The sequence below is a fragment of the Homo sapiens genome, chromosome 1 (genome assembly GCF_000001405.40).
Source record: "Homo sapiens chromosome 1, GRCh38.p14 Primary Assembly".
Classification (NCBI taxonomy): Eukaryota; Metazoa; Chordata; class Mammalia; order Primates; family Hominidae; genus Homo; species Homo sapiens.
Genome location: NC_000001.11, coordinates 237038447 through 237050639, shown reverse-complemented (window position 1 = coordinate 237050639; position 12193 = coordinate 237038447). Strand labels below are relative to the sequence as shown.

The 12193-nt window shown below is 43.9% G+C and overlaps 1 protein-coding gene across 18 annotated transcripts in view; it reads right to left on the bottom strand.

Annotated features, from left to right (window-relative positions):
- The window catches only part of RYR2 (ryanodine receptor 2), a 791805-nt gene extending 783349 nt beyond the window's left edge, over nt 1-8456 (bottom strand). For all 18 annotated transcript variants that reach the window (XR_007062490.1, XR_002957299.2, XM_006711802.4 and 15 more), the window contains exon 1: nt 8071-8456. Coding sequence is in view for 16 of the 18 variants with exons in the window: in XM_006711802.4 (XP_006711865.1) it covers nt 8071-8118 (48 nt within the window). In the remaining 2 variants the exon portion in view is untranslated. The remainder of the gene's footprint in view (nt 1-8070) is intronic.

The window sequence follows — 12193 nt, the reverse complement described above, 5'->3', positions numbered from 1 at the left end:
ACATTATGAATCAGATTCTAAACTCAGGAGGAAAGAGAAACAATTAAAACTTCATTAGAAGCAGAATAAATGTGCAAAAACTCTTAAAATACCAAAAATGTTAAAGGAAAAAAAGTGCTTGCCATAGTAGAAAAACAAATTGGCCACATTGAATTGTTCCTTCCTTCATGGTGATGAGATGTGTGGGCCTGTGCCTCTCCCTCAGTGACCACATGCGGGTTTCCCCTGCACACTAAGAACCACGTGTCCCAGGGAGCAAATGTGTCCTCGTTCCCGCCTCAGCCCTTCCCAGACTCAGGAAGGCCCTGCCAGCCTCTGAGTTCCTATACACTTTCTCCTGTTCCACTCGCTTTCTTCTGCATCTATCTTGGCTCCACAGCTAGATTTCAGGTTTTCTTCCAGTAAATTGGCAGATACTCATCATCGGTTGGTGGGTGGTAAGTACCTGCACCCAGCCATCCAGGGGAGGTCTCCCTGGGTTCACGTGTCAGTGGCTCCTCTCTCTCTGTCCCCTACTTGGGTAACGAACATGAAAGCAATTACGTGTAGGTCCTCTGAACACTCCGTCACTAACAGGGAATGCCTTGGACTTCCATTTCATTGCAGCAACACCACTACAGAACTTTTGCAATAGAAACCAGGAAATATACCTTCCACATGGGCTTTGAGGCTGACTGTAACATTCTGGGAAACCCCAGAAACATGGGCCACTTCTTCACCAGCCAGGGAGAAGGTAACTATGGAAGCCAGAGAAGTACTTCACGGCTGGGACAATAGAGAGGATTTGCAAACAAGCTCACTAGGAGTTCAGTTACTAAATGGATCCGAACCTAAGTAGTCCCTAAGAGGGCTACTGACATGAGAGAATTCTTCTCCTAGCTCCTTCTAAATGCCTGTCTGCAAGCTTCTCTTATTGTTAACATCTCCTCTTCCCTGAAAGAAAACCACCCATCATCAAGAATCCTGGCTCAAAGCTTGTTGTCAGCTTTCAGGGCCTGTAATCCACCAGGATGAGGATTTCCAGGGACCCCAGGATCATTCAAAGCTTTTCTTTCCAGTCCCAGGGTGAGATTTTGTTATGCTCATCCTGCAGAATGGTTTGAGTCTGGTTGACCCTAAGACTACGAACATGACAATGGAAATTACCGCAAGTCCCTCTGAGAAAACAACCTCCCCATTTTACCTCTCTCAAACAAATCTCTATCTGACCCCACCAGCCCCAAGGTCACACAACCATTTGTTGGCAGGGTCCTCATCCCAATGTTCTTCCCGTGATTAATAAAGAGGAAAGTAAGGGGATGAAACTGATCCACTGGACACTCTAACAGTGCCCCTGGAAGTCACCTCACCCCCTGACAGCTGCTCATTTGAAATACAGCTTCTGACTCTAAACCAGTATTTCTTTTGGGCAGCCCTAATCACTCAGACTCAATTAATCCTTAATTTATTCTCTTACTCTCCTTTGTTCATTTGCTCTAGTGACTGTAACTTCCCTCTCTCTAATTGCCTTCTCCGGGTGTCCCCTCCCACTGGACCTGGGAGCCACTGCGGCCTCCCAAAGCAGCAATCATCACCTGGCCTCTCTCACCCTACACACCTCCGGTGTCCTCATCTCAGAATTTCACCCACCAACACTCCTACTCTTCTGCTTCCAGAAGAGATCTTACCTCTATTCTTCCACCCCCACTATCTTTGCCTACTTCCTTCATAGCAGGTTCCTTCTTTCTGCATTTGGACGCATTCAAGTGATGTTCACATTAAACTTGTGGGCAGGAGGATCCTTTCTCTTGTCCCGATCTTCTCCTTGCCACAAGATTTCTCTCAAGTCTGTCCTTGTAGTTAACAGTGCACCAAGCATCATGGGAAACCGATGCCCAACACGGTCCCAACTCACCCACAGAGCATCAGGGTCAGAGCATTCTCTGACCATTGCTTGAGTTTCCCAATCAGTTCCATACATTTTATTAATTATTAGTGATAAATGGTCGGAGAAAGGTAAAATCGGAATTGGTTAGAGTGATCCAAGAAAACTCTGTGTAGGATGAAAAGCATAAGCAAGGTATCAAGGGGCAGATCATAAAAGGCCAAGTAGAGAAATTAGACAGGATATGCAAGGATGTGAGCTGAGGCTGGGAGATGGACACGAGGGTTTCAGGAGGACTAAAATGGCAGGCGGATTCTAGGTGGGTTGCCGATTTGTTGCAGGAGGAAGGATGACGAAGGTTGAAATGAGTACTGGGATCAGAACAAGAAGCTAACGGAGTATGAAACACATCGAAATCTGAGTTGGATTGCAAAGAGAAACACGATGGGCTATGATGACAAATTAGATGCAGAAGAGAAGAAAGAGAACTAGACAAATGCATTGAGCCACTCCCATGAGCCAGGCACTGTTGTTCTAAGTCCGTAAAGCTAGGTGCTGGTGGATTCCGGCCTCAGACTCAGGTCTTCTGAAGGTTAGGATCACACTGGAGCCACAGCCACAAACGGCAGTGCCACTGATCAGCAGAGACACTAGGAAGGAAAGTCGCTTAGGGAACCGAACAGGCAATGATGTCAAGCTGGTGTTTCTGGGGTCCGAGAGGCAAGAGGGAAGTCTAAACAGAGGCTTGAAGTGAAGGCCCAGGGCTGTCGAATCTACGGTGGGTTTCTCCTACAAAAAAGAGTCGCTTTGGGAACATTCCTTTCATCTCTCTGGCTCTCAGAGCTGGATGAAGTCATTGTTAAGTCTTTTCAGACTCTGTTATTCAAGAGATCCCAGATTTTGTGACATAGATAAGCTCATGAAGGCAGAAGAGCCAGAACAGGAAATAGGACAGAATCTTTTGGGATAACCACACACTTGGAGTAAAAGGAATGAAAAGCACCTGGAAAAAGCATGATCAGAAATGTAAAAAATTACCCAGAAGGTACCATGTCCCCAAAGTCAAAAGAGTAGCTTCAAAAAGGAAAGTCAGGGTAGTAGAGCTTGAGAAGGAATCTAAGGGAATAGGGACAGAGAGGGACATTTAGACGTGGCAAGGAGGGAGTTACTGGCAACATCCTGGAAAGTAAATTGAAGAAGGAAGAGAAGCTAGATAATTACATGGAGAGGGGTACAAGCAGTGGGAGAAGACCACTTCTGCAGGAGGGGAGCAACCAAATAAGGTATCCGGGTCAAAGACAGACATTTTAAGATGGGAGAAATTAACAGGCTTCAAGATAAACCAGAAGGAGTAAGTGGATAGGGAGGCAAAAAAAAAAAAAAAAAGGCTAGAAAGGATGGATTCCAATCTTGGCTTCCAGGACCAAGATTCAGGCCATGTGAGGGACTGTAACATTAGAAAAGACAAAAGAAACCTCCTTTTCACTGGCTGGAAGGACAAGAGGACAGATTTGGAGACAGAACTCTATGAAGGTCAAGTTAAGGATAAAATGGAAAAGTGGGTTTAAATCTACTCTATAAAGAATGATGTGCTGGTAAACCTCCTTTCTGGAAATTCTTCACAGATTTTCATATACTCTCCATTACTAAATGCCACTAACTTGGAGTGTGACACTGGGCCAAGTCATTTGGCTTTCTGAGCTTTTGTTTCCTTATCTGCAATATCAGAGAGGCATGGGGTGGACAGGGTAATGTTTTCTAAAGGCCTCTTCCTACCCTAATGTTTTGGAGTTTGTTTATGCATTTTTCCTTCTGATTGCTCCATGCCATCCTCTATATCTATTCTTTGCAATTACAGCTGCAAACCACTTCCCTACTTATTTGGAATACTTCCTTAACATGCTATGCATACAGACGGTGTTCAACAAATGTTTTCTGAATTAATCTAATTCCCACAATGTCAGAGTTTCAGGAAAAATGTGTGCTTCATCACCTCTCCCTCTCTCCCGAAAGCTATCTAAAGAAGCACAGTCACCCAGTGCTGCTGGAGTCCTTTCTTGGGTAATTCAGCCGTGATAAAAACACTTATCTGAAGCCAAAGTACAAATACAATTGAATGTCAAATAAATTAGTGCCCTAAGCGTTTTAGATCTTGCCCTTCCTGCCAATGTGTACATGCTAATTTCTAAGTTAAAATAAAATAAGTCTGATGATGTAAGCCTGGGTGGGCTTTCCATCAGTTCCTTGGGAAAATACCATAGTGCATATCTATCTAAAGCTCCTCGTAGCTTCATTATGAAGGGAGCAAAAAGTGCGAATTTCCACTGCTCATTCCATCTTTTCCTTTGTACTCTGTGACATTCCTACAGCTGAGAAAACTGACTTGGTATTCTTTTGCTATAAACCTAAAACATACTTGAACAGCAGATAAAGAAGCCTTTCTCTCCTGGAAAGAACACTATTAGCCTAAGATTTGAATTTTAGTCCTCGTTCTGCACTGCTGAGTACTGACTTCATACCATTAACCTTCCTGGACCTCTACAAACTAGGGCTAAGTATTCCCATCCAAACTACTATGCAGTGTTGTACACCAGCATCTATACTGCATAATTGTCACCATTTGTAGATGAGTATATTTAAAGATGCTTCTTGTCATTGTGGAACAAGATGTATGAACACTGAGAAGAAATCTATAATGAAATACTTCATTCTGCAAAAGAAGACAGGAGGAAGACCGTAAGCATTCCTATCAGGATCATTCTTACAGCCAGGACTAAGCTTTAAGTCTCAATCTATGGGTAAATACAAAACTACATGACACAGTACACCACAAGGGTAACTCAACTGTGCTTAGACAAATGAAAGAAAGACAAAGTACTCAAAAAAAAAAAAAAAAAAAAAAAAAACCTTGACCAAGGTCATTTTATACCATGGTTTTCCTAAAGTCAGAGGAATATCTTCTATAACATTCTGTATGATTGTTGGAAAAAAAAAAAAAAAGAGGACCATAACGAAAAAGATGCGTGTTTTTAAATGCCAAATGACAGTTTGATGCTACATTGGTAAGTTAATAAAATCTTTAAAATAAAACACACATTCCAAATCATGGATATGTTTGGATATGACAGTGAATGAATCCATTACAAGCTGACAGCTTATTTTATGATAGGATTTTTCTCTCATAAAATAAGTGTCCCAGCATATCCAGAGTTTACAAAAACATATTTTCAATCTCTCTCAAAGATAAACAGACCCAAGTGGGCAGGTTTCCAACAGATGGGGGAGCCACTGAATCAATGATCATTCATCTACATAACTATTTGGAAGGAATGTGAGCCAACTCGACAAGCAGCAGCAAATGGAACAGAGATGCCAGAGAGACAGGTACAAGCTAAACAGTGACAAACCCCTTTGCAAATGAGGAATTAATTTACAGCAGCATACATAACTCACAGATACAGCCCATTAAAGATTTCACCTCTACTTCCCTTAACAGTGATCTCACACCTCTTCTAAAAAAAGAAAAGCAAAAAAGCTTTCTGTGGACAGTGGTCAAAAAGATGCCTCAATGTGCTGGGGTGCTGAATACAAATCCAATAGACAATGACCTGCTCAAGATAATAATCCAGATGTTCTAATCAGGACATATGAAATGTCCCATCAAATTCACAATTACGGTGTCTTAATGACTGTTTTTGTTTTTCTATGCAAAACAGCTTCATCCATCACTATCAAGAATTCTTCCATCTACAACTGTTTTATCAAGATGTACAGATTCCTAATACTCCTTGGGCTATTTGCTTTAAAAAAAAAAAAAAAGAAGAAGAAGAAGAAATAACTCATATTGACAAGCTTGCACATGACAGAGAAATAAATGCCCTCAGAAAAAAAAGAAGCGACTTCAATGTGGGAACTATACTACAGTCTCCCCATTATTCACCCCATCAGCATTTCTGAACCACCAACATTCTCAGGTTAAGAGAAAAAAAAGGGGGGTGGGGGAGGGAAGGATGGAGGGTAATGGGTGGAGAAGCCGGTAAAGGATTTGAGAATTTCCATATGAAAATTGGAAAATTGTGAGGAAAGGCATGTTTTCCTTTTAGATGTTAATGCTATACCAAAAAAAAAAAAATCCCCCTGCTCCACTGTGTCACCTCCTTCAAGGTCATTTGTCGTCAGCACAGCAACCTACGGATGTTTTATTAAAAGAAAAATCCCAGCCTGGGACTGCCAGATCTCTACCCAGGACCCACTTATCAAAGGTGCTGCTCTAGCTGACAGGCAGCTGCTGAGTGGCACAGAGTTGACATTACTTGATATGTGCAGAACCTCATCAGCCAGCACGTTCCCTCGGTCCCCATTAAGCATTCTGATAACACCACCTCCATGAGCTCGGCTTAACAGTTAAGCCCGCAGGAAGCCCTTGAGTGCATGAAGCCTACCAAAATGTCCCAGCTAGTTTTAACCCCACAGAGTTTGATACGAATTGATTGAAAAATTATACAGCAACCGTATTTGTCCACCTGAATAAAATAGTCCTTAGTTTTGAGAAAAATCTAATGTGGTGTTAATTACTTAAAAAAAAAAAAACCCTTATAGTCTATTTTCTATGAAAAAGACAACTGTATTACTAGCAGGTTTATACACCGTGACCAAGGTATTAGTGAAGAGGCTCTTCCAAGCCCGGTCTTGGGCCAACAGTACTTCAAAAAGCATATGCAATGGTGCATAACCTGCAGCTATTAGACTGGATTACTATTAGGTTGTCATCTGATGTGGACCCTGGGTTTTTATCCTTCCCAAAGCTTTCTCCCAGTCCGTTTAATGCACAAAAGAGAAAGAGACAGTCGTTTACAACGTTCCTTTGCAAATTCGCTGTTTTCATATGTTTAGTACCCAAATACATCAAGACTATTTTCACACCTAAAAGTTAATATTCCAAAATTCCACCGTATCTACGATTTTCTGTGATTATAGGTAACTGTAACCGGGAAGTGGTTTTGTTTGTTTGTTTGTTTTGTTTTGTTTTGTTTTTGTACTGCTGAGGAAAGAAGTACCAGCAGAAGCTGCAGTTCTAGGTTGGGGAAGTCTGGGGAATCCTGCAAGGGAACATCCTTCGGGAAGGAGGACAGAAGTGGAGAAGGAACGACTGAAAGGATGCTAACTAGGTTATTATTAGCAGGAAGTTAGGGCATTTTCTTTTCTGGAGAGGCTCTCCAGTCCCAGCTTGGAGGTGTGCAATGCCTCAGCCTGGGAAGTATCTGCAGTGTTCGAACAAATGAGAGAAAGGAAGGAGCAGTGCCAAGAGGTACTTAAGGAGAAAGAATTGTATTAGTGTGGAGCCAACCTTTCCCGGGCAGCCACCCTGCCCTTACACTTACACACACACACTTTGCTTCACTTGGCATGCAATAAGCCAGCATTTAGAGAACGACACGTTCACGATGTTCTCCCCACCACCACCCGCGCGCGCGCACACACGCAAACACACGCTCGCTTCCCATGCCTTCCACGCTTTGCAAGCGGTCACAGCACCACCACGGATGGCACCAGCCCCGGGAACCGCGGGGACCACGGAGGCGACTCCTCCTCCGCTTTCGCAGCACCTTGACTTGGGGGAAACCTCCGCGCAGCGTCCTGCACCATCACCCCCGCCCCCGGTCAGCTGCGCCGCACGCTACACGGAGTAAGCGAACCAACGTCTTCGCTCCGTGACAACGCGCGGGTCCAGCCCGAAAGCCCAAGAAACCTCCCGGCGGCGGTATTCCCAGAAACAGCCCGAGTTCCCGCCGCTCCCCGCGCCCCCACGGGCCACCCTGCTCTGCACCCTGCCCCCGGCCGCCCGGGAGGTCCCAGCCGTGCCACCAGGCAGGCCGGACCGGCCGTCCCCTCCTCTCCCGGTTCCCGCAGCTCCGACGCTCCTGTCCCCGGTGCCCCGGGTCCGAGCCCGGGCGCCTGCCGCCGGCTAGCCGCGCTCCATCCTCTAGCTTTCCACACGCGCGCACAGACACGCGCCCTTGCCTTCCCTCGCCCCAACACGCACACCTGCACACACTTGGTGATGCCCGCTCCTCCCGCATCCTCAGGGGGCACCCCCTCGCCCCGCCCGCGAGTCCCCGCTGCCCGCTGTCACTCTGCCCGGACCCCGCTAGTGGATGCCCTGACGCCCCCTTCCCCTGACAGCACACGCGACGCACGGCGCTTACAGTTCGCAGGAACTGGATCTCGTCTTCGCCCTCGCCCCCATCGGCCATGGTTCCGCGCCTCCTCGCCGGGGCCGGCTCCCGAGCCCCGCGGAGCTCGGCGGCGGCGGCGGCCCCTGGCGCTGCCTTCTGCTTCTGCTGCCGGGAGCCGGGGGCTGGAGGGGGCCGCGCTGCCGGGTGCCGAGCGCCGGGCGGTCCCCGCCTGCAGAGCGGAGGAGGAGGCGCGGACGCTCGGGCGCGGGTGGTCGAGGCGCGGGGCCTCCCTGCTCCGCACTGTGCGGGAGGAGGGCGGCCCGGGCCCGGAGGACGCGGGGAAGCAGCCCCGCAGCCCAGCCGCGCTCGCTGCCTGCAGCCGGCGGTCCGCTCGGCCCCGGCTCCTCCGAGCAAGTGCGCGGAGCCAGCTGAGCCGGGGTTAGTGCAGCGGTGGGGGTGGGGTGTGGGGGCGGGCGGGGAGGAGCTCGGCGGCTCCCCGCTGCTGCAGGTAATCCGCAGCCCGCTCCTCCGGGCCGCCAAACCCGAGGCCCAGCGCCACTTACTGGCTGCGCTGGGAATCGGGGCCGGAGCGCACCCGGCGAGCGCACAGCCTCCTACCTGCGCCCCGCTGGGGTCCCTGGGCTCATTCCCCTGCCCCTTCCGAGCTTAAAACCGCCGGCACGACGCCCCTTCCTCCTGGACTGGGCTAGGGCACTAACTTCCACGGCACTTCGGATCGCACGGAAGAATGATATCTTTCACCTGGGCGCACGGGGTGGCTAATCTCCAAGTAGAGATTACGCAACACCTGGTATTTTAAACGTGGATTACCTCTATTCATGATCAAATGGGAATTCTTCAAGATCTAGTTTTAGTGTACCATGCTTTTCGCAGATAATCGATGCAAAGTGCACGGTTTTGGTGCACAGAACTTTAACATTCAACAAATATACAGTGAGCGCCTATGCCAGACAATGTGGTACAAGACAGACCCAGAAGTGTGTAGTCTGTATTCGAAGTGCAAGCCTTAATTCAACAAGGAATTGCGGTAAAGTATGGGATACTATCTATAAGTCTGAACCACTGGATGGGTCTAAAGTCAGACTGTGCTACCCATTATCCTTGCTGAGAGAAGAAATTCGAGCATTCCACCGCAGATAGTAATATCTTGCTCTCGCAATCCTCCATGCAATAGTCTACCAAATGCCTACTTAACAAACGGCTATGACTAAGAAAATACAGGGTCTGAGACAATTTGGACAAGAAAGCAATTTGTCTCTTGTTCCTAGTCCACAGCGCTTTCATTTATCGTACTTAAAATAAGTATGTGCAAAGTAAAGTTTTCAAATGTCAGTACTACGGAGATGCAGACATTGTAAAACAAGGATTTTTGCGTCCGTTTACCTACATCTTACATTCTGCGGCATCTAACTCATTATTAAAATCGACCACTGAGTTCTATACAGTTTATATTTTATTTTTAGCATTCATTAACTTTGTACTTACTGGGGTAGGTTTGTAAATTTCCAGGAGAATGACAATATGTGTATAAATACTCGCTGTCCGTGGTAGAACTAGTAATGTTCTGCCCTATCTCATGGAAGTATACCAGTCACCTTACCTAAAAACTTGACCTATCCCTGTAGCCATGACGACTAACCAACTCTTAAACCGTTATTATTTATGTGAATGTTTACTCTTACGAGTCTCTAAAGGAACAACCAGTGAGCTCCCAAAAAGTCGGGTAAGAGTCCTCCATGAGCAATGACTATATTCTGAAATTGGCTCCTGATTTAATGTTAAATGATTTGATCTTCCAAATTTAGAACGTATCAAATTGACGTTTTAAACTATTTTATTCAGAACTATGCAGAGACAGGTTTCTTAATTACTCCATTCTACCCAGATGGTAGGTAAAATAATATAAAAACGCTTACCACGTCTTCATTTTGGCATTTTAACTAGGCTGTAAACTGTTCTAGCAAGAGTTATGGTTATTATTTCTTTAGTTCTCTCAATGTAAGTGGAATAATGCTAAAAGGCCTAGACACTCGATGTTTCTTATTCACCCCATACAGTCTTCAACAGCAAGTAGACATAGAGCAGAGACTATTTATAAAACACACCGTGTATGTGGACTTTAAAACACAAAAATACAAAACTATGAGGTTTATAGATCTCTAGTCTGTTCTAAAAGTATAAAAATATGTTTGAGAATGATATACAACATTTATTTTTAAAAAGAAAACCAAAGCAAATATAACAAGTGTTTTAATACTGGTGATGGGCATATTGGTGGAATATTATTTTTGGTACTCTGATATTCTGTTATATTTCATAATTACATAACAAAATAATTTTTACAAGAAAGCAACTTCAGTGAAAGCTATGGAAACTTTTTACTTATAGCTTTTTTAAAAAAAATTTAACCCTTTTGGATAATTTAGTTATAATTCCCTAGTTTCTTCTTCTGGTGGACAATTGTAGTAAGAATTCCAGTGCAGAGATCATAGGATACTAACTAACCTCAATTTTAAGTGTACTTGAGAAAAAATACATAAAATTTGGATACAGCTTAAAGTTTATGTTTACTGTATTTAATTCTTATTGTAGACTCAGACTAAAAGAAATTAACAAGTAGACCTTTTTCTAGGCACAAAACTATAGTTCATTAAATAGAAAAAAATTATTTACAATTTTCATTAGAAAATAGTATTTGATATCTATATATTTTGTAATTTTTATTAAAATATTTATTGGCTGGGCATAATGGCTCACACTTGTTATCCCAGTGCTTTGAGAGGCCAAAACAGGAGGATTGCTTGAAGCCAGGAGTTCAAAACGAGCCTGGGCAATGGAGACCTCATCTCTACCAAAAAAAAAAAAAATTTTAATTAGCTAGGCATGGTGGCACAAACCTGTAGTTCTAGCTACTGGGAGGTTGAGGTAGGAGGATTGCTTGAGCCCAGGAGTTTGAGGCTGCAGTGAGCTATGATCAAGCCACTACCCTAGTAACAGAGCAAGACCTGATCTCAAAAAAAAAAAAAAATTCTCTTTTTCTAAATTCGTGTTATGTATAATAGCTTATTTTGCTTTTTATTATCTTAATATTGCTTTATTATAATATAATCTTTATATTCAATAGATACTACATTTTAAATCTTTATTAATCATAAAATTATTAATAAAAAGTTTAGAGGATGACATTTCTATGTTTCTTAGTCCAAATTTGGGAAGTATTCTTCTTTATGACTAATTTTATATTCTGCAAGAGAGGGAAAAATTATATTTTTGCTTTTTTAATTAAGAGTTTTTCTGCAGTCATCTAATTAAGAATGGGCCATCGTAGCCCACTTATTCACTTGGCAGGATGCTAGACAGCCTTAAAGAAGAAAAAAATTAGGACAAATGTAAGCTTTTTCATTTTGACTTACAATTTACTAAGCTCCCCAATGATGTACATGAGCTTAAAAAATTAACTTCTTCCTCAAGGTTTCTACGGAAACTCAGCAAAATACTCAATGTTATCATTTTAATTCAGCTCCTTTCAATTAAGATTACATACATTAAAGGCTTTATTACTGACTTGAAAGCCTCTGGAATTGTCATCGAATCATTATAAAATTAGGATTAGAGAGCCTCTAACGTCCTGAGATTTAGCCCATTTCTTGTTAACTCAGATTTCCTGTTTCAAAATCTCTAAGGAACATTTCATACCTATCTTCTTATCCCACTTCAGAACTCAACAGACCAACATTTTACAAAATTTCCATTTTATTTACATCCTTATTGCATGTGTTCTAAAATACTATAATTCTTATGAGCACCTGTCCTAGAAATAAATCCCTGGGAAATTCACCACAAGCCAGTCCTCAGGTCACATGGCCTGAATCTCTGCATTAATGCAAGATGGCCAGAAATTACATTACGAATGATGACGATGGTGATGAAACTTCATTTATTGAGCATTTACTATGCTCCGAGCACTTGCATTTTATTTTTTCTTTTCGTCTTCGCAGCAATATCATTTTTGAAAAACAGGAAAGAAGACTTAAAGAAGTTAAGTAGCTTGGCCAAGAGTATGCAGCTGCTGAGTTTTGACACAGGGGTCCGAGGACTTATACTCCTCCCCTACCTCCATCCCAAAGCGGAA